The sequence below is a fragment of the Homo sapiens genome, chromosome 5 (genome assembly GCF_000001405.40).
Source record: "Homo sapiens chromosome 5, GRCh38.p14 Primary Assembly".
Classification (NCBI taxonomy): domain Eukaryota; kingdom Metazoa; phylum Chordata; class Mammalia; order Primates; family Hominidae; genus Homo; species Homo sapiens.
This window is the reverse complement of record NC_000005.10, coordinates 138,376,638-138,398,546: the sequence shown is the minus strand read 5'-3', so window position 1 is coordinate 138,398,546 and position 21,909 is coordinate 138,376,638. Positions and strand designations below refer to the sequence as shown.

At 42.9% G+C, this 21,909-nt stretch overlaps 1 protein-coding gene across 6 annotated transcripts in view; it reads right to left on the bottom strand.

Moving 5' to 3' along the window:
* Positions 1-21,909, bottom strand: part of KDM3B (lysine demethylase 3B) — an 84,343-nt gene that overhangs the window by 38,481 nt on the left and 23,953 nt on the right. For 4 of the 6 annotated variants that reach the window (XM_047417313.1, NM_016604.4, XM_011543489.3 and 1 more), the window contains 7 exons: positions 20,722-20,827; positions 18,839-18,963; positions 16,957-17,031; positions 11,926-12,525; positions 6,286-7,534; positions 5,175-5,376; positions 155-369 (listed from right to left, as the gene is read on the bottom strand). In XM_047417313.1, coding sequence (XP_047273269.1) covers positions 155-369; positions 5,175-5,376; positions 6,286-7,534; positions 11,926-12,525; positions 16,957-17,031; positions 18,839-18,963; positions 20,722-20,827 — 2,572 coding nt within the window. Of the gene's footprint in view, positions 1-154; positions 370-5,174; positions 5,377-6,285; positions 7,535-11,925; positions 12,526-16,956; positions 17,032-17,132; positions 17,417-18,838; positions 18,964-20,721; positions 20,828-21,909 lie in introns of those variants that run through there. The other 2 variants (XM_005272018.5, XM_017009584.2) reach the window with 2 other exon arrangements.

Genomic DNA, 21,909 nt, shown 5'->3' with positions numbered 1-21,909 from the left:
CTCAACGACAGGTTGCTACAAAGAGAAGTCTTATCGGTCTTAATTCATTCACAGAAAATGCCATCTGCCACTGTCCCCAATCTTCCCGTTAAGTGAAAGAAAATAAAAGTTTTTCACTAGGAGCACCTGGAAGACAAGTGAGAAGGTGACTTACGGTGTGGCTCCACCATCATCATGGCCTCCTTCTCAGACATTACGAGCTGGCAGAACTGGTCCCCAACATTGGCCAGGATGTATTTTGAGGTCTCTAGATCTATCCCTTCTGCTAGGGAGGAAGAGGGAATCCACAGGTTCATGGCATCAGGGTCACTTTGCTGGGGGCTTAAAAACCCCTCCACACGGAGTACCCCTTTTCGAGTGAAGATCAACCTGAGACATGATCAAATACATGGTAAATCGCAGGAGCAACGCAAACTAACACACACCTAAACTCCTGGGACCTAAACAGAAGTAAAATGAGACAACAGGAATCAGACTAAGAATTTTCACCAGTCGACCAAAACAGTATGCATTCTCTGCTAATAGTAAAGCTTGTTAACATAACATTTAGTAGGTCTAGATTCTTTAAAAAGCTGTCCCAGAGTTCCTCTTAGTTTTTCCATTCACCTGTTCTACACCTGCACCCATACTGCTGAATGTGACCAGATAAAAACACAGACCTACTTTCCAATTTTTTTTTTTTTTTTAAGACAGAGTCTTGCTCTGTCACCCAGGCTGGAGTGCCGTGGCATGATCTCGGCTCACTGCAACCTCCACCTCCTGCGTTCAATTAATTCTCCTGCCTCAGCCTCTTGAGTAGCTGGGACTATAGGCGCACGCCACAATGCCCAGCTAATTTTTGTATTTTTAGTAGAGACAGGGTTTCGCCATGTTGCCCAGGCTGGTCTTGAACTACTGCCCAGGCTGGTCTTGAACTACTGACCTCAAGAGATCCGCCTGCCTCGGTCTTCCAAAGTGCTGGGATTACAGGCATGAACCACACCACTCCCGGCTAACACAGAGCCACTTTCATTGTAACAATTTATTTATTTATTTTTTGGAGACAAAGTTGCGTTCTGTTACCCAGGCTGGAGCACAGTGGTGCCATCACAGCTCACTGCAGCCTTGACCTCCTGGGCTCAAACAATCCTGCCACCTCAGCTTCTCAAGTAGCTGGGACTACAGGGACATGCCACCACATCCAAATAATTTTTTATTTTTTAGTTTTTTTTTGAGACAGAGTCTCGCTCTGCCACCCAGGATGGAGTGCAGTGGTGCGATCTTGGCTCACTGCAAACGCCTCCTCCGGGGTTCATGCCATTCTCCCGCCTCAGCCTCCCCAGTAGCTGGAACTACAGGCGCCTGCCACCACGCCCAGCTGATTTTGTTTTTGTATTTTTAGTAGAGACGGGGTTTTACCATGTTAAGCCAGGATGGTCTCGATCTCCCGACCTTGTGATCCACCTGCCTCGGCCTCCCAAAGTGCTGGGATTACAGGCGTGAGCCACTGCGCCTGGCCTAATTTTTCATTTTTTAAAACTGTTTGTAGAGACAGGGTCTTGCCATGTTGCCCAGGCCAATTTCAAACACCTGGGCTTAAGCGATCCGCCCACCTCGGCCTTCCAAAGTGTAGGGATTATAGGCATAAGCCACTGTGCCTGGCCTTTTAACACTTTAAATTCATGTCTACCTACATCAAGTGAGTCCTTAATATTGCCTGACAGTCACAATACAGTTTCTTGGTACATTCCCTCTTCTAGATGCCTATTTTCATACCTTCCTTCTATTCATACCTCCAATATTACTTCCCCTGTGAGGACCTTGTTTTCTATTCCACTGAGAAAAGAGGAGCCAGAAAACAACCTCCACAAGCTCCCACCACGACACTACCACACTTCCCTGCAACTTGGCCCACGTATTCCATGAGTTCCCGCTGCTCTGAACCAGCAAAGGCCAGTATCTCCTACTACATCCTATCACTTTTCCCCAACCCAAAGGCATTTCTCCACTAAATCTCTCCTCTCTTTTCAACATCATCTATTTTCTTCTGTATCAGATCACTGCTGCCAGCACATAAATTTGCTCCAATTTCTACCACAAAAATCCTCTCAAGCCATACCCTCCCTCCATTTATCTGCTTGAGCAAAGTTCCTCTAAAGAGTTGTCTATACTTGGCCGGGCGCAGTGGCTCACGCCTGTAATCCCAGCACTTTGGGAGGCTGAGGCGGGCGGATCACGAGGTCAGGAGATCAAGACCATCCTGGCTAACACGGTGAAACCCTGTCTCTACTAAAAATATAAAAAATTAGCTGGGTGTGGTGGCGGGCACCTGTAGTCCCAGCTACTCGGGAGGCTGAGGCAGGAGAATGGCGTGAACCCGGGAGGCGGAGATTGCAGTGAGCCAAGATTGCGCCACTGCACTCCAGCCTGGGCAGCAAGACTCCATCTAAAAAAAAAGAAGAGTTGTCTATACTCATTGCCATAGGTTCCTTTCCCTTTTATTTTCTTCCCTACAATCAGGCAATTCCCCTACCAATCTAGCAAAACTATTTTGATAAGGTAATTCTACCTTGCTAAATCAGTCACTTCTAGTCCATATGTAACATGACCTGTCAGCAACATTTTTACTTTTTTATTAAAAATTGATTTGTGCAGGGTGCAGTGGCTCACACCCATAAGCCCTGCACTTTGGGAGGCTGAGGCAAGCGGATCACCTCAGGTTAGGAGTTCAAGACCAGCCTGGCCAATGTGGTGAAACCCTGTCTCTACCAAAAATACAAAAAATTAGCCGAGCATGGTGGCGCGCACCTATAATCCCAGCTACTCAGGAGACTGAGGCAGGAGAATCGCTTGAACCCAGGAGATGGAGGTTGCAGTGAGCCAAGACCACGCCATTGCACTCCAGCCTGGGCAACAGGGCAAGACTCCGTCTCAAAAAAAAAAATTATTATTATTACTATTATTTTTTGTAGAGACAGGGTCTCACTACATCGTTCAGGGTGGTCTCAAACTGCTGGCCTCAAGTGATCCTTCAACCTTAGCCTCCCAAGATCCTGGGATTACAAGCGTGAGCTACCGCCCCCATTCAAGTCAGCAACATTTGACACAGTTCATTATTCCTTCCTGGAAATACTTTCTTTAGTTGTCTTCTGGGATACCTCACTGCCTAGTTTTCCTGCTACTTCACTAGCTGTTCTTTCTCAGTCTCCTTTACTAGTTGCTTCCATCTTTCTCACCTCTAAACATTGGAGAGTACCAGAGTTTGGTCCCTGGACTGCTATTCTTCTTTATCTATGCTCTGATCTCACTTAGACTGACAGCTTTAAATACCTGGTGATATCCAAATTTATATCTCCAGGTAGGACCCCTTCCCTTAACTCTAGAGCTGTATCCCCAGCTGCCTTCTCAGTATTTTCCTTTGAAAATCTAACAAGCATCTCAAATTTAACACGGCCAAGTTAAAACTCCCCCTTTTCCTCCCCAAACCTGCTTTTCCCTAAAGAATCTCTTTATCAGTAAATGGCAATCTCATTCTTCCTGTTTTTAGGCCAAAAGACATATCTAGAACCAGACATAGAATCATCCTTAAGTCCTTTCTTTCATACTTCACATCTAATTCATCAGAAAATTATGTCTACTCTATCTTCAACTACTTCTCATCATGTCCATCACTATCTCCGTGGTCCAAGCCCCATCATTTCTCACTTGGATAATTCCAACAGCCTCCTAACTTCTCTGCTTCTGCCCTTGCCTCTACATAGCTTATTCTCAAAAAGGTGGCCAAAGTGGCCTTTTAAAACATTAATCAGTGTCACGCATCAGCTCAAGGCCTCCAATGACTTCTCATCAGAGTAAAAACCAAGGCCTTTGGAATAGCCCTTTAAAATGTGGACCCATCATTAACTCATTCACCTCAACTCCTTTTCCTTCTTTGTTTATTCTATTTTAGCAACCTAACTTTATGGACACACCAGAAATACTCCAGCTTTGGGATGCTTGCACCTGTCTGGAATACCTGTCACAGTGTGGTGTATTCTTTCACCTCCTGCAGGCTGTTCCTCAACTCTCACTTTCTCAGATCATCCTGTTTAAAACTGTAGCCTCTCTAGCATCCTCACACTTCAATCCTCTTTCCTTATTTTTCTCATAGTTATTATCAGCTGACATATCACTTATTATTTTTTCTTTTTCTTTTAGAGAGAGCCTCGCTTTGCTTCTAAGGCTGGAGTGCAGTGGTACGATCAAGGCTCAATGCAGCTTTGACCTCCTGGGCTCAAGTGATCCTCCCACCTCAGCCTCCTGAGTAGCTGGAATTACAGGTGTGTGCCACCACACTCGGCTAATTTTTAAAATTTTCTGTAGAGACTAGGTCTCACTATGTTGCCCATGCTGGTCTCAAGTGATCCTTCTGCTTCGGCCTCCCAAAGTGCTGGAGTTAAAGGCATGTAATCATGCTTGGCCTTTTTTCCTTATTTACTGTCTGCCTCCCCAAACCTTCTGAGGGCTGAAATTTGATTTTTTTGTTGTTCACTGCTGAATATTCAATGGCCAGAACAAGGGTTGGCACACATTAAATGCTCAATAAACATTTGCTAAGTGAATCCACACCATATTGGTAAACCATTTGGATTTACTTTAAAAATTAAAGATTCTTGAAAGGTCACTCAGAAGAAACTCCCCTTCTAAGTTTATCAAGCAGAAGAAAAGTAACTAAAGAGATATTGTTTGGTAAAAGCAGACGATATTCCCACATTTCCATCAGTTATATCTATTTCAAAGATGCTTCACATTATCTCCAAATCTTACCTCCCCGTCTTTTTAACATGACTCAAGTTACTCTAGCACTGAGGAGGAATAAGCAGTCAGGTAGATCCATAATATGAAATGCAGTCCTTCTGCTTATAATAGTGGTTTCAAATAGAACCAACCCAAGTTAGGAATTACTCAGGGAATAGCACAGAGCTGCAGCTAACACTGCTCAATTTTAATTCTCCAAGGACAAAATCACATGTCATTTTACAATCCAAACAACTAAGTGACTACTATGCCAGAGCCTCTTCACAGACGCTGAGAGCAAAGGAGTTGAGGAAAGCAAAGACCAAGATGATGAAACATGTTTATAGACTCAGAGAAAGAGTGGAAGTTATGTGTCACTAATGAAAACTAGCAAAGGAGGAAAACAGGAGTTTGGGTACCTCCGGAAGTGAAAGAAACGGCAGGCTACAGTAGAATCATCTTGCTCCTGTTCCTTAAACTTCCGGTACCGCTCCAGGCGGCATTCACGACACTTGTGCAGATGAGGTGCCACATTGATGCATGACCCATCCTGCAGGAAGGGCTCTCCAGATTGCTTCAGCTTCTTCACTTTGCTTACATCTTTCAGCACTGACTGGCCAACTGTGGCAAGGGGGAGAGAAGAAAAGTTTGTCATGAGGTGTAAACAGGAACCAATAGCATGATTCTTTTGGGGACAGACATTTGTTCTGACCTGGGTTGCTACTCCTTTCCCTGCTTGGGCATGTACCCATTATGTCCATCCTTGACAGGAAGGGAAAGCAAGGAGCAAAGAAGCTTCCATTGGGAGCTAAGAACCATGCAGAACTTGTGGGAAGTGCCCCACTATGGCAAAACAACTTTGAATATGGATGTGAAAAACATAAGAAGCCAGAATGTAGCCATCACCTGCCTCTAGTCTCTCACGATATGGCTATTCTGTTCATCAGGACCTCTTGAGCTCCCACAACATAGCAATTCCTATTGAGAACAGCTGCTTTTACCATGAGACTTTGTTTTACCCGCTTCTGGACCATAACCTCACACCACACAAGTTAATGGATTTTGATAGAGCTGTTAAAATCCTTATGTAGGTTTCAGAGAGGAGCAAACTGAGGGGTGATTCTCTCTGCTTCATCAAGTCTACAAATGTCTGCTATGTGGGAATGGATACCAGTTCCCAGTAACCCCTCTGAAGTAAAGAGGATGGGCCAAAGTGAAGTAAAAAGGGATGAGACAAATGCAAAGAAATAGTTCCTGACCAAAAATAACTGACCGCCAAGGAAGATCAAGAGTCCTCCTTTGGGGGATTATCATTATTTGGGACAGATACTCCTCCTACAGTGCCGGTTTAGATGCAATCCTGCCCTGAACCAGGCCTGACGAGGGGCCTCTGCCAGGTCCTCTTGGCTCTGTAATTCTATGAGATTACAGAACTCTCCATCAAAGTGAGTGCCTCTGCTGCACAAGAACACGACAGGCATTTGAGCCCAGTGCCAGAGCAAAGCCCAAATATAGCCCCAGCAGGATCACCTTTCAGGGGGGCAGTCCGAGGCCGGCCCTTGGGGGCCTGCTTCCCTTTGCTTTTGCCCAGCAACAGCTCAGCACTGCGCTCCCCATTGGGGCCCAGCTTCCCCATCAGGTGCTCTGGAATTCCCTTCAGGCCTGTCTTAGCCTGCAGCTGCTCCTCAGAGTCACTCAAATCTGACAGGTCACTGTTGGTGCTGGAGTCCGAGTCTTGTCTGCAAGCCAAGCTTCGTTCATCCAGTGAGAACCTTTTCACAGCTTCAAAAGGAGCTTTGTTCTCCTGTGAAAAATCTGCCGGGGAGGACAGAAAGCCGCCTGAGTGCCTGCCAAAGACGTTACTAAAGGTTTTGAGGAGGGGATTGTCCTGCTGCCCAGGCCCCACAGTTGGCCTCTCCTCTGTGGGGCTAGAGGAGAGAGTTGGCATCTCAATGGGCTGAGTGAGGCTGCTGGTGGGCGAGCTGGAGCGGCCATTCCCCATGGCAGAGAGGCTTGGGCCCCCACTGGTAAGAGCTGAGCCCAGAACACCAGATACTAGCTTGGAGGAGTCAGTTGTAATGAAGAGGGGTTTCTTCTTTGCTAAAGATGCCGAATCTGCAGAGGAGTGAGACTCGGGCCAGCTGGGTGCCACCTTGGAGGTGACAGTGGTAGCAGAAGAGGAGCTACCTGATGCCTGAGATGCAAAACTACTGAAAGGGCTGTGTTCAACTTTCTCCACAAATGCCAGGAAAGGATTAGAAGGCTCTTCTCGGGACAATTTGGGGGGCTGTAAAAATAGATTTTCATGATTCTCTGGGGTACGGGCATTTAGGAGGCTCCGTGGGAAGGCTGGAGTGAGGGTGGGCATGGACTCTGCAGGCACTTTCCGGTCCACAGAGCTGCCAGCCTTAGAGCCTGGCTTAGTGTCTGTTCCAAGAACGGATCTGCCTTTACACAGGCCTGAGCTCAGGCTCTCAAGGCTTTGTTTGAATGAGTCCCGACTAGAAGAATCATCAGCCAAACTCTCTGAAACAGTAGTGAAGTAGTTACTGGTAGGTAAAGTTTGGGACATGCATTGAAAAAACAAGTTTTTGGAGAGATCAGTGTCTTTCTGTGCCTCTTGTGCAGAGCTACAGCCAAAAGAGAAGCCCAAAGGTTTGTTCTCTGTGGCTAGAACACCATTGGACTGGCTCCTTCCACTTCCAAAAGTCAAAGGTTGCGATGAACTAGGGAGAGGTGCTCCAAATCCAGAAGAGGCCAGAATAGAATTTCTTGAATTCTGAAAGGAAGATAGCCTGAATTAGTGATGCTGGCTTCTCATGACAATCTAATGATCTCTTTCTTGGACCTCACTATCACCAGATCAACATTTCTTGGGGGTCCATCAACTTTTCTCTTTTACAATTCCATGGATCTGCTCTTGTAACTGGAGTTCACCAGCAGTGGGGAAGAAATCTGCCACAGACTACACTGAGGGCATCTTTAGCAAGGTGAACCAGAGATAGCAGGATGTCATTCATCCTGCAATTCCCTTGGTTGTTATCCAATTGGTCGTCACAGTGCTAGAAGGCCTTGTAGGCTTTTTGGTATCTATTTGGAAGTGAAGAGCTCCTCTAAGGAACTGGAGAAAAGGGTTCCTGAATAGACATCAGCTTTTACAGTGACCCCTGTAATATTAATATATCTCAATGACCTTGGGAGCTATTGTTAAAGTTTTGATTTATTTAGGCTACTGTAAAATTGCCCATTTTACAAAAAGTGGCTTTAATCCTAGGACAAGCCTACTGCACGTTAAAGAAAAGTGTTTTCCTTATTAATCTGAAAGTCCACAACATGGACCCTTTTGGATTTCGGCATCTATTTATGGGTTCAAGTCAACCTACAAGTTGAATATCTACTTCAATTAACGTTAGACGTAAAGATGCTAAATTAAAGAAAGCAAGCTATTTACCAAGACCTTTGTTATAATTAGAATCTAATAAGAATCCAAAGAGGATAAATGTATATACTGACAATATCCCAAAAAAAGCCTTCAGCATAACTGAAGAATGAAATAACAGAACACTCCCCTTTCCTTCTTTTACCTTCAAAATGTTAACTTCTGCTTGTGAATGACTGTATAAAGAAGAATGGGGCCTGGCGCGGTGGCTCATGCCTGTAATCCCAGTACTTTGGGAGGCTGACATGGGCGGATCACGAGGTCTGGAGGTCAAGACCATCCTGGCCAACACGGTGAAACCCTGTCTCTACTAAAAATACAAAAAATGAGCCGGGCATGGTGGCACGTGCCTGTAGTCCCAGCTACTCGGAAGGCTGAGGCAGGAGAATTGCTTGAACCCAGGAGGCGGAGGTTGCAGTGAGCCCAGATCGTGCCACTGCACTCCAGCCTGGCAACAGAGCAAGATTCCCTCACAAAAACAAAAAAAAGGAAGGACTTTCCTATATATTAATGTACCCAGATACAGACAAGAGAAAGGGACACACACACACACACACACACACACACACAGAGAGAGAGAGAGAGAGAGAAGAGACCCATAGGTAGGTATGAGCCCAAACTTATATTTATTAATTTAATAAAACCCAGATCCTAGTACTTGACTTGCTAACCATAGATTACTTTCAAGTAGTAGAGGATGATATACCTTAATATTCACTCTAAAACACTGGAAATAAAAATTATTCCATCACCACTTAATGGATATGGAGTTTTCCTTTTGGGGTGATGAAATTTCTGGATCTAGATAGTCTTCATAGTTTCGCAACACTGTAAATGTACTAAATGCCACAGAATTGTACATTTTAAAGTCGTAAGTTTTACATTATGTGTATTTTACTACAATTAAAAAAAAAGTGATTCCCGATAAACAAAAGGGCTATTCTCTTATAAAGAGGGGAGAGAGTTTTAATTAAACTATTCTTTAAATACACAAGAGGAGTTAACATTCAGGATTTCCTTGAGGAGTAGCATAGAGACGTACGAATCAAGCAGGCCACCTAGGCTTGCCTCTGTCTCTGCTACAGAGACTACTTCAGGGTATTTTAGAGTTAAAAAATAAAACTCCTTTTCTTTTTTCTTTTATCTTCCTACTAACCAGTAAGTATTGACTTCAACTTACTCCCTACAATAGAGAAAAAGAACAGACACAGCCCTGAGGTGCTGCTGTTGCTTCACAGGCAGGATTTGGCCAGGAGCCTTGATACCTGCATGACTGCAAGGAACTAGCATGGGTAGCTCATGTTTCACTCCTAAAGTTACCCTTTAAAAATAAATACACACATGAATGAAAAATAATTTGGATAGTCTTTCATTTTCCTTCAAATGATTAAATTCCAAATCCTTTTCTTATAAAAAGGTGATGAGAAACTCATGTCAAGCCAGTTTTTAGGGCAAGAAGTTTCCTGTTGGCTCTGTCTTTATTTTAGATCAGCCATTGTAATGAAAACATTCATTTCTACACATTTATTTATTTATTTTTTGAGACGGAGTCTCGCTCTGTCACCCAAGCTGGAGTGCAGTGGCGCAATCTTGGCTCACTGCAATCTCCGCCTCCCAGGTTCAAGTGATTCTCCTGCCTCAGCCTCCTGGGTAGCTAGGATTACAGACACATGCCACCAAGCCCAGCCTTTTTTTTTTTTTTTTTTTTTTTAAAGACGGAGTCTCGCTCTGTTGCCCAGGCTGGAGTGCAGTGGCACAATCTTGGCTCTCTTGGCTCACTGCAAGCTCTGCCTCCCGGGTTCACGCCATTCTCCTGCCTCAGCCTCCCGAGTAGCTGAGACTACAGGCGCTTGCCACCACGCCCAGCTAATTTTTTGTATTTTTAGTAGAGACGGGGTTTCACCGTGTTAGCCAGGATGGTCTCGATCTCCTGACCTCGTGATCCGCCCGCCTCGGCCTCCCAAAGTGCTAGGATTACAGGCATGAGCTGTACTATGCCTGGCTCATTTCTATACTTTTAAATCATATCCTAGAAGAAGAACCAAACAGAAACACAGCAACATGACTGTCATAGTCACAGAAATTCCCTCAACCTGTTTAAAAGAAAATACTCTTTCAATCTGAATTTCATATATTCAGCTTTGCTACTCTAAGAGTAGCAGCATTCAATGGATCTCTTTTATAGCATGTAAAACCTGGTCTATTTTGTAAGCTCCATTTACATTCACACTGCCTTTGACATGGAGTTGTTTTTGTTTTGTTTTGTTTTTTTGAGACATAGTCTTGCTCTGTCGCCCAGGCTGGAGTGCAGTGGCACAATCTCGGCTCACTGCAAGCTCCACCTCCCAGGTTCACGCCATCCTCCTGCCTCAGCCTCCCGAGTAGCTGGGACTACAGGTGCACGCCGCCACGCCCGGCTAATTTTTTGTATTTTTAGTAGAGATGGGGTTTCACCGTGTTAGCCAGGATGGTCTTGATCTCCTGACCTTGTGATCCGCCCGCCTTGGCCTCCCAAAGTGCTGGGATTACAGGTGTGAGCTACTGTGCCTGGCCAACATGGAGTTGTTTTTAAATAATTCAGACACTATGATGATTTACACTGGAAATCCATATAAGATCCTCACCTGGTTATCTTGGGAATGCTGGTCAACCAACAGGACAAACCATCAACAGTGTGAAATTTGCATTTACAGGCCTTCTCCTCGTCTGTGTGGACATTTCCTCTCCCTCCCTATCCCTGCACACTAGGGATTAACAATCTGCACTTGTTGGGGAGGGAAAGAAGTCACGTTTGTCATGTTTTGTCTGGCATTGTTTTTTCTGAAATGATTCCGTTTTAGGATGTGAGCTCCTTCAAATAGGAGTTTCAATTCCTTATATATAATATACAGTACTCAGCACACAGTAGTTTCCTATATATAATTTTTAAAAATCATTAAGCATTTCATCTCTGTATTTCATATTTTAGCTTGAGTTAATAGCTGTTTGGGGAAAAAAAAGATGACTAGCACCATAAATCATATTTTGGTGACCAAAATTAGTCAAAAAGAATATATTATACTGATTTTGATATTTTGGATTAGGGAGACAACTTGATGTTAACTTACATTTAACAGAGGTTCCATTTTAGCAACAATATATGCATATCAGATAAAGAACAAAGGAAATCAGATACTGTTGTGATGAAATCCATCAAATTTTCAGGTAAGGCTTAAAAAGGTGAAGATAGGGAGAAAAAACCTTCCATGGCCATATCAAATGATGGAAATTAACTCAGCCTCAAGGGAAAATATCATAGAAAATGATGAATTGAAAACAGGGTAATGGTAGCTTGCACACATAGCCTTAATTATAGTATTCACTATTACCAATACTGTAATTCATTAACCTCACCTCTTATAGGCCTAGCAGAGGCTTGATCACTACGTGAACTAAATAGATAATAGAATTTAAAACATTCCCCACCAGATCTACTTTAACATGTCTTTAAATTAGGTTGTATCATCAGTTTTTGATTCACCCAACTGTTCTGGTGCCTTTTAAGAGCTGATAAAGTTATTAAACTATACACATTTGCCCAGTGAGCAGTAAAGGCCTTCCACAGAGTATAATTTAAGCACATCTCAGAAATACTCCTTCCCTGGGGCACTTGAATGTTTTTTAATGTTAGCAATAAAGGAGGGCGAAAGAGTAAACCCAAATCTTGCAAATCTGCCCCTGAAGTAACTCACCTCTCCCGAGGCCTGCGACCGGCTGCCTTTCTGTTTTTCTGGCACAGTCCCTGCTGCAAGGCCAGTGTCTGAGATCCTCACTGTGTTTGGGGTGGAGCTGGCGGTAGTGACCACAGCTGCGGAAGCCACTATGCCCTGGCCAACTTGTTCCAGTGTTTTTCCTGCCTCTTTGTTTTCGGCTCCACCCACCTCTGGGGCCAAAGGTGTCTGACCTGTGGCTGTAGAATATGGAGTGAAAGATGCAGGTGTGTCCCCACCTACAGGCTCATCCTGCACCACCAGAGTCCTGCCGTTTTCTTTGGTGTAAGTGGCAAAGCGAATGTTGCGGTTTATCTGGGGGACAAATGTAGACGGTGGCTGCTTGGCTCTCTGATCCAGCCCTGGCTCTCCACTGGCATTCCCTCCTTTCCAGGGCCCTCGGCTTGCCTCACCTCCATCGCTCCCATTACTGTCTACTTCACCCCTGTCTCCTTTTAATTTCTTTGATGCAGGGTCACACCCAGAGTCCGAAGCACTTTTCCTCCTCCGGCCATCTTTCCCCTCTATGCTTTCTCTCTTCTTCTTTCCTTTGGAAGATTTTACTGCTTTTAACGTACCCCCCTACAAAACAAAATTCAAAAAAGATTACAAGGAAACTTTCATCCTGTGAATACCACACACCATTAGCTCTTTCCCATCTCTAGAAGCAGACAAAGCAGGCATAGACTGCCAAGTTCCAATGCCAGTTCTAAAACATCCCCTTTGTTAAAAGCTCTAATCTTTGTGTGACTCAATTTATACACACACATTCAAGATAATAGTTACTAGAGGTTAACTCACTTGGCAAACTTTCTCTTAAATAAAACATTACACTGCCTTAAATGGACTTCTTTGAGGGTTTTAACAATTTGTTGAGTTTCTTTTACAAAATAGAGTGCTAAAGCTAGGGTGGGAGCTCATTTACCCCTTGATGAAATAACTCACTTTATTACATATTTACCTCCTTGCTTGAAAGAAACTTGCATTTTAAGTACTGAAATAGGACATCTTCTCTAACCAGAAGTCACTAAACCAACGTTTGTGAGTCTGTGACCAAAGGAAAAGTGAACCTGGGCTGGGCACAGTGGCTCACGCCTGTAATCCCAGCAGTTTGGGAGGCCAAGGCGGGCAGATCACAAGGTCAGGAGATTGAGACCATCCTGGCCAACATGGTGAAACCCCATCTCTACTAAAATATAAAAAATTAGCTGGGTGTGGTGGCGTATGCCTGTAGTCCCAGCAACTTGGGAGGCTGAGGCAAGGGAATCGCTTGAACCCAGGAGGCCTGGCGTGTTGGCTCATGCCTGTAATCCCAACACTTTGGGAGGCTGAGGTGGGTGGATCTACCTGAGGTCAGGAGTTTGAGACCAGCCTGGGCAACATGGTGAAACCCTGTCTCTACTAAAAATACAAAATCAGCCAGGCATGGTGGTGCATTTCTGTAATCCCAGCTATTGGGGAGGCTGATGCAGGAGAATCACTTGAACCCGGGAGGGGAAGGTTGCAGTGAGCCGAGATTGCGCCACTGCACTCCAGCCTGGGCAACAAGAGGGAAACTCCTTATCAAAAAACAAAACAAAACAAAACAAAAAACTGTTATGCAAAGCTCAAGATTAACTTTTGTTTGCCTATACTTTTGGTAATATTATCTAAGTTTCTAAACCTTTCTTTCCTTTTTTTTTTTTTTCCTGAGATGGAGTCTTGCTCTGTTGCCCAGGCTGGAGTGCAGTGGCACAATCTTGGCTCACTGCAACCTCCACCTAACGGGTTCAAGTGACTGTCTTGCCTCAGCCTCCCCAGGAGCTGGGACTACAGGTGTGTGCCACCACATCCGGCTAATTTTTTTTTTTTTTTTTTTTTTTTGAGACAAGAGTTTCGCTCTTGTCGTGCAGGCTGGAGTGCGATGGTGTGATTTCAGCTCATGACAACCTCCGCCTCCTAGGCTCAAGCGAATCTCCTGCCTCAGCCTCCCAAGTAGCTGGGACTACAGGCGCCTGCCACCATGCCCAGCTAATTTTTTGTATTTTTAGTAGAGACAGGGTTTCACCATGCTGGCCAGGTTGGTCTTGAACTCCTGACCTCAGGTAATCTACCCACCTCAGCCTCCCAAAGTGCTGGAATTACAAGTGTGAGCCACTGCACCTGGCCTAATTTTTGTATTTTTTTAGTAGAGATGAGGTTTCGCCATGTTGGCCAGGCTGGTCTCGAACTCCGGACCTCAGGTGATCTGCCCACCTCGGCCTCCCAAAGTGCTGGGATTACAGGTATGAGCCACCACGCCCAGCCTCTAAACCTTTCATTCAAGAACTTTATCTGTTTGCTAAGTGTTGTTTTCTTTTGACTTTTTTTTTTTTTTTTAAGTCGGAGTCTTGCTCTGTCACCCAGGCTGGAGTGCAGTGGCACGATCTCGGCTCACTGCAAGCTCCACCTCCCAGGTTCACGCCATTCTCCTACCTCAGCCTCCAGAGTAGCTGGGACTACAGGTGCCCGCCACCGCGCCCGGCTAATTTTTTTTGTATTTTTAGTAGAGATGGGGCTTCACCATGGTCTCGATCTCCTGACCTCGTGATCCAGCCGCCTCGGCCTCCCAAAGTGTTGGGATTACAGGCGTGAGCCACCGCGCCTGGCCTTGATTTTTTTCTTCTTTTTTTTTGAGACGGAGTTTTGCTCTTGCCACCCAGGCTGGAGTGCAATAGCACAATCTCAGCTCACTGCAACCTCCGCCTCCTGTGTTCAAGCGATTTTCTTGCCTCAGCCTCCCAAGTAGCTGGGATTACAGGTGCCCGCCACTACGCCCAGCTAATTTTTGTGTTTTTTAGTAGAGACAGGGTTTCATCATGTTGGCCAGGCTGTTCTCAAACTCTGACCTCAGGTGATCCACCTGCCTCGGCCTCTTTTGATTTTTAAAAGCTTTTAAATTCTTTCTCAATCTCTATCACCACCCAGTTTTCACTGTTGCAGATCACAATCAGTGAACTCTGTTCTTTCTTGTTCATTCACCCATACTTAAAGGAGATGAGGTGATCATGGATCTCTAAAAAGGGTTACTATAAAACTTGGCAGAACTATAAAAAATAATTGGACTCTGCTAGCAAAGAAAACAGTAATATCATGTTAATACCAAAAAAGGAAGACCCAACATCTGCTGCTAAAAACCAAAGATCACCAGGCGTGGTGGTTCGTTCGCGCCTGTAAACCCAGAACTTTGGGAGGCCAAGGTGGGCGGATCACGAGGTCAGGAGTTTGACACCAGCCTGGTCAATATGGTGAAACCCTGTCTCTACTAAAAATACAAAAATTAGCTGGGCATGGTGGTGTGCGCCTGTAGTCCCAGCTACTCAGGAGGCTGAGACAGAAGAATCACTTGAACCCGGGAGGCGGAGGTTGCAGTGAGCCAAGATCACCCCACTGCACTCCAGCATGGGTGACAGAGCAAGACTCCATCTCAAAAAAAAAAAGAAAAAAACAAAAACAAACATCCCACCTATAAGTCATCCAGCCAACTTGCAGAGCCTGGCTCACAGCAACATACTACCAGTCCCTAAACAACTTATATGTAAGTCCTACTTACAGTGAGCTACTCATACGTGAGTAAGCAGCCTACAACATTGAGACCAGTACTCCCCAGTTCTATTTGGCCAGCTGAACAGTACCTGGCATACAATATATGCTTAATGAAGGAATGAAATAAGGAAAGGAACAAAAAAGGGGACCAATACACGATCAAAGTAGCAGGTGTTTTTGGCATGCAAACACAGTCAAGAGACTTACCCTGTTTGTGGTAATATTACATGTAGTAAACAGTTCTTAAATTTAACCCTGGCCAGGTGCAGTGGCTCATGCCTGTCATCCCAGCACTTTGGGAGGCTTAGGTGAGAGTTTGAGACCAGACTGGGCAAGATAGCGAGACCCTGCCTCAAAAAAAAAAAATTTTTTTTCTTTTCCTATTCTGATCTTGTTTTAGGAAGTCAAGAATGACTGGATAAAGATGAGGAAAGACTATATACTTAGCAGGAGTGGCAACGACAGCAATATTACAGAGGTGCCAAGATACTGTGAGGAATATGTGGACAGCTGGTCAACTGAAGGAAATTCACACAGAATTACTCGATTGGTTCAGGCAGAGATTTTTATTTATTTACTTTTTTTTTTGAGACGGAGTCTTGCTCTATCACCCAGGCTGGAGTGCAATGGTGCGATCTCAGCTCATTGCAACCTCCACGTCCCAGGTTCTAGCGATTCTCCCACCTCGGCCTCCCGAGTAGCTGGGATTACAGGCACCCACCATCAGGCCTGGCTATTTTTTTTTTTGTATTTTTGTAGAGACAGCGTTTCACCACGTTGGTCAGGCTGGTCTTGAATTCCTGACCTCAGGTGATCCGCCTGCCTCGGCCTCCCAAAGTGCTGGGATTACAGGCGTGAGCCACTGCACCTGGCCCAGAGAGCTTTAATGTATCTTTTTTGGGGCTATATTAATTCTGAATAAACCAAGAGTTGGGCTGGTTCATAACAATTATGGAGTAACCAATGCACTGGGGGCTGAGCACTGAACTAGGTACCAGCTTGAATTGATTCTACTTGGGAATACAGAATTTCAGACTCCGTTGGAGCTCACTGCCACCGAATGGAAAAAAAAAAAAAGTGGACGTAGTTTATCCTTCACTTCTTGTTACTTGGTAGATCACGAGTATTACTACTGCTTATTGCACTTTTAACTGACTACTATATCTTTCAAATATACCTGTCCTGACAGAATATAGGAAGAAACCAGCCTTGCACTTTAGAAGAACTAGGGAACATAGTCATGCTTAAAAGGGTTTGCTCAAACTAGGTCTCTTTCTTGAGAATATCCCCCCTTAATTAGACAGACTGTGGAGAGAGCAAAAAAATGTACAGTGGCTAAAGCTGAACAACTCAAAAGGCATCCATGGAAAACACATATATAAGGGATCTACACACAGCAAGATAATGCAAGCTCATGAGTCTGCTCAGGAATGCAGTCCATTACTGTACCTCGCTTTGAGGCGCTGAATTATCCATCAGCATCACATGGATTAGTCTGGGATCTACCGACTTGATCTCACCACTCTACAGTAGGAGGGGAAAAAGATATTTAATGCCTTGTCCATAAAGACATAATTATATAATTTCCTAATCAATGTAATTATCTCTTTATTGATTCAACTCACCTACTAGAATGAAAGCTCCATGAGAGCAGAGATCTCTACTGTCTCATTTACTGCTACAACAGGTCTAGAATATGGTAAGCATTCAAATATTTAAGTGAATGAATGAAAGAAGTGAATTCATGTCCAACTGTGTCTTTTAGCGATGTTAATTCTGAATCCTGTATCTCTAAAACTGTCCTATTCTGTATAGTATGAAACAAAAAACCTTCAGAACCAATAATCATTAAAAGAATCACTCTAGGGCTGGGTGCGGTGGTTCACATCTGTAATCTCAGCATTTTGGGAGGCCAAGGTGGGTGGATCACCTGAGGTCAGCAGTTCAAGACCAGCCTGGCCAACATGGTGAAACCCTGTTTCTACTAAAAATACAAAAAATTAGCTGGGTGTGGTGGCGTGTCTGTAATCTCAGCGAATCAGGAGGCTGAGGCAGGAGAATTGCTTGAACCTGGGAGGCGGAGGTTGCAGTGAGCCGAGATCGTGCCATTGCACTCCAGCTTGGGCAACAAAAGCAAATCTCTGTCTCAAAAAGAAAAAAAAAAAAAAATCACTCCAGGCTGGGCATGGTGGATCATGCCTGTAACCCCAGCACTTTGGGAGGCTGAGGCAGGAGGACCAGGAGTTCGAGACCAGCCTGGGCAACACAGTGAGACTCTGTTTAAAAAAGAATCATTCTACTATTAAAGAATAAAAACTCAGTGGGGGGCAATTTGATAGAAAATTTCAAATTTATTGTGCATATTCTTTGACCTAGCAATTATACATATAAATTTATTCCAATAAATAATGTAAAAAATGTTCAAGGATGTTCACTGTGACATATTAGTGAAAATATTGGCAATGATTTAAATGTCTATCAATTTTAGATTAGTCATGATATATCCATGTAGTGGAAAAGAACGCATCTATTTTAAAGGATGAGACAGATCTTTACATTTACATACAAAAATGCTCACTATATACAATTAAGTAAAAAAGGTAAATTATATAACTATATGTACTATATGATCTTATTTGTTACTAAAGTGTGACTTATATAATTATAGAGCATATAAATTATATATATCATATAAATTATATATCATATAACTCATATATATCATATAAATAAATATAATATAATAATATTCTGGCCGGGTGCAGTGGTTCATGCCTGTAATCCCAACACTTTGGGAGGCTGAGGTGGGCGGATCACTTGAGCTCAGGAGTTTGAGACCAGCCAGGCAACATAGCAAGACTCCTTCTCTACAAAAAATAGAAAAATTAGCTAGGTGTGGTGGCACACGCCTGTAGTGCCAGCTACTCCAGAGGGTGAGGTGGGAGAACTGCTTGAGCCCGAGAGGCAAATGTTGCAGTGAGCTGTGATCGCACCACTGCACTCCAACTACTAACCTTTATGAATATAATACTACTACTGTCATACATTTATATATTGTTTTACAGATTTCAAAGCACTTTCAGATACTTTATCTCAGGACCCAAAACAGTGTTGTAAGGTCAGTGGGGGTTTACATATTTACTTCTAGTTTATAGATGAGAACAGTGAAGTTAAGAAAATTCAATAGCCTTTCTAGGGGTTATACAACTATTAAGTAATAGAGCCAGGGATGAAACCCAAGTCATCTTACACATAATGAAGTGCTCGCCTATCTAAACCATCCTCTTTAAGGGGATGGATGGACCTTAGACAGAATAACACAGAGTCTCACCTCAGTTACAGACACCTCCATAAGACGAGTGATGGAGTCCTGATGGCTCACAACACCATAGAGCCACCCTTCTTCCCCCTCTGGCTGATATATTTTGACCCTGTGACCTTGAACACTGTAGGGACCTAAAAGGGAGATCAGTCAGTATTGAGTATTTTTGGCTAAGCTATATTTCATAATTGTTCCTAAAAGCCAAAGGAAAATTAGATAATGTAAATATTTGGCACTTTTGGTCCTCTTTTATAGAACTGAACAAATGAGCAATTCCAGATTTACCATACTGAGCAATTTAAAAACAAAACCTGAATGGTTTCTTCCAGTGGTCTTTGTAAATTCTTCATTTATTTGGAAATTCCTTAGAATTTCCCAGCCCTCCAACTCCCCCTTGCCTCAATCTTCCAGTTCTGCAAGTATTATAGGAAGGGAAAGGAAACTTCCAAATAAAAAACTACAGTAGTATGAAAATGTAGGTAGATACCTGACATGTATCTAACTACATGTACATGAAAAAAGTGGGAGGCCACTAAGTTGAAAGTGCTGTTATGTTATGTTATGTTTATATATGACCATTTACATTCTGGTATCTGACTTTCAATAACAGTGGGTGAAGAGTTCAATTTATGAAGTTTCCAGCCTTCTGCACTAATAATAGGCTGAACAAATATAAATATAGCACCTGTCTTCCTAGGAACGCAGAGTTTCAAATATATTACTTTATCAGCAGGTAATGTTACCCTGCAATTTAAGCTATCCTCTAAGGACAGTTTCTCTCTCCCACATATCCTTGTACATTTGAGACTATATAGCTAAATCATTACCAATTTTAGATTATTCTCTATCAGAGCTAAAATTAAGCTTCCGTAACTTTTCTATACATTATATCTATATATATCTATATATATATATCATGATATATATAATCTATATATATATGTATCTCCCTACCTCTCCTGTCCACTCAATTTTCTTTTCTGCTACCAATTTTCCTCATATTCTTTCTTCTGCCGTATCTTTCCTTGATTATTTAACATCATTTTATCCTGACACCTTCCTTCCCCAATAGGTCAGTTTTTCTACCTTTACCTGTTTAGGTTTATTTTGACAAAAGAGAAACAAGGAAACTATTTCCCTGAAAATAATGATTATCATGAGATCAAGAAAGGAAGGGGAGTGAATGTACGACATAAATGAAGCCAATAGTTTACCTTTTGTGTAGAATCTTGGGCAAAACTTGTATCTGAACTTGAAAGCTAATAATTTTTTTCATTATTAAAAACAACAAGCTTTTAATGTGAATGAGTCTGTGAACACATTACTTTATACCTTGCACTCCAAGGTGTTATTTGTTGGTGTTAAGTTTTTAGTTCTTAAGAAACTTGCAGATTTTAAGTTAAAAAAGCAAAGATTTTCTAATTAATTGCTATATCCCCAATGCCTTAACACTGTCTAGTACATGGCAATATTTAAGAAATAAAAAAAACTAAAACTCAACTCACAATAAAACTGTATATTATGAAATGCAGAATGAACCAGAAACATTGGTCTGAATGAGATCCTGTTTTTGTTCTAAGAGCATCTTTAAGGGGATGGATGGACCTTAGACAGAATAACACAGTCTCACCTCTGTTACAGACACCTCCATAAGACGAGTGAGTGATGGAGAGAGAATGAGATCTCTATTTTAGAGATCCAGCTAACTGAAGATACTCTTTATTTTTATTTTTTAATAAATAATAATTATTATCTTTCATGTGGCATCTGACTCTGCCCACAAAAAGGAGATAAGTACAAATGTTTAAGGTTGCATGGGATTCCATACTATCACTCAACAGTGATCATTCACCTGAATCAGAGTTCAGGGACAGAAGACTATCCGTTCTTACCTCGGCTGAATATCTCTTGTAGCTTTTGGTCACTGATCAAAGCATTAACTGTTTCTCTCAGTGCAGCATGTTCCAAAAGAATCTGGTTTTGGCTATCTGTTCCCATCTGGTAAAGATAAAAGAAGAAAACAACTGAATGTTAAAATGAATAGCAAACATCTAATCAGCTGAGAAAAATCATATCCTAAGGAGCTGTATATCAACATTTGCCAAACAATATCTATAGAACCTTAGTCTCAGGCTAGGCGTGGTGATCATGCCTGTAATCTTAGTACTTTGGGAGGCCAAGGCAGGAGGATCGCTTGAACCCAGGAGTTTGAGGCTGCAGTGAGGTATGGCTGCGCCATTGCATTCCAGCCTAGGTGACAGAACAAGACCCTGTCTCTTGTGAACAACAAAAAAAGAGAACTCTATTCTCATGAGATGTTCTGCAAAAATTAAGAATGCTAGGATCAATTAGGATTAGGAAATATTATGTATCTTTCTACATACAATAGGCTATTAAAGGCTCTGAGAAGTCACACAGGAAAGAAACTTATTTAGGCCAGTGTTTCTCATACTTATCTGACCATAAAACATTGTATTCCTCGCAAATCTTTTTGCTTATTTCAGTATTTATCCAACATTTACTAAGTGCTATCTCATAAAGCACTAGGATTATAAATATGAATAAAGCAAGGTTGCTGAGAGGGAATGAGGCCTAACGAGCGAGGAAGACATATCAACAAAGAAATCATCATTAACCTAACGAGCGGGGAAGACATATCAACAAAGAAATCATAATTAACATCTCACAGAAGACAGTTTAGGAAATAACTGCTCTGGTCTGTCTCAGTAAGACAGTAAAACTCAGGAGTCTCCTAATTTTCTTCCTGCAGACAGCAACCCTTACAAGTGAAAAATAAATACATTTCCCTAAATTCTGAAACTATAACTCAGACGCTGGTTTGTTTTAACTATTAACTTGTCCCTTTTCTTTGTAACTATGATACTTCATGCTGCTTGGAACCAGTCCAAACTCCTGGATGTCAATAATGAATAGGCCCCCTTGGACTCAAGTTACACAAACAGCCACCTCGGAGAAGCCACCTCTGCCTTTTTTTTTTTTTTTCTTTTTTTCTTGAGATGGAGTCTCACTCAGTCGCCCAGGCTGGAGTGCAGTGGCACGATCCTGGCTCACTGCAAGCT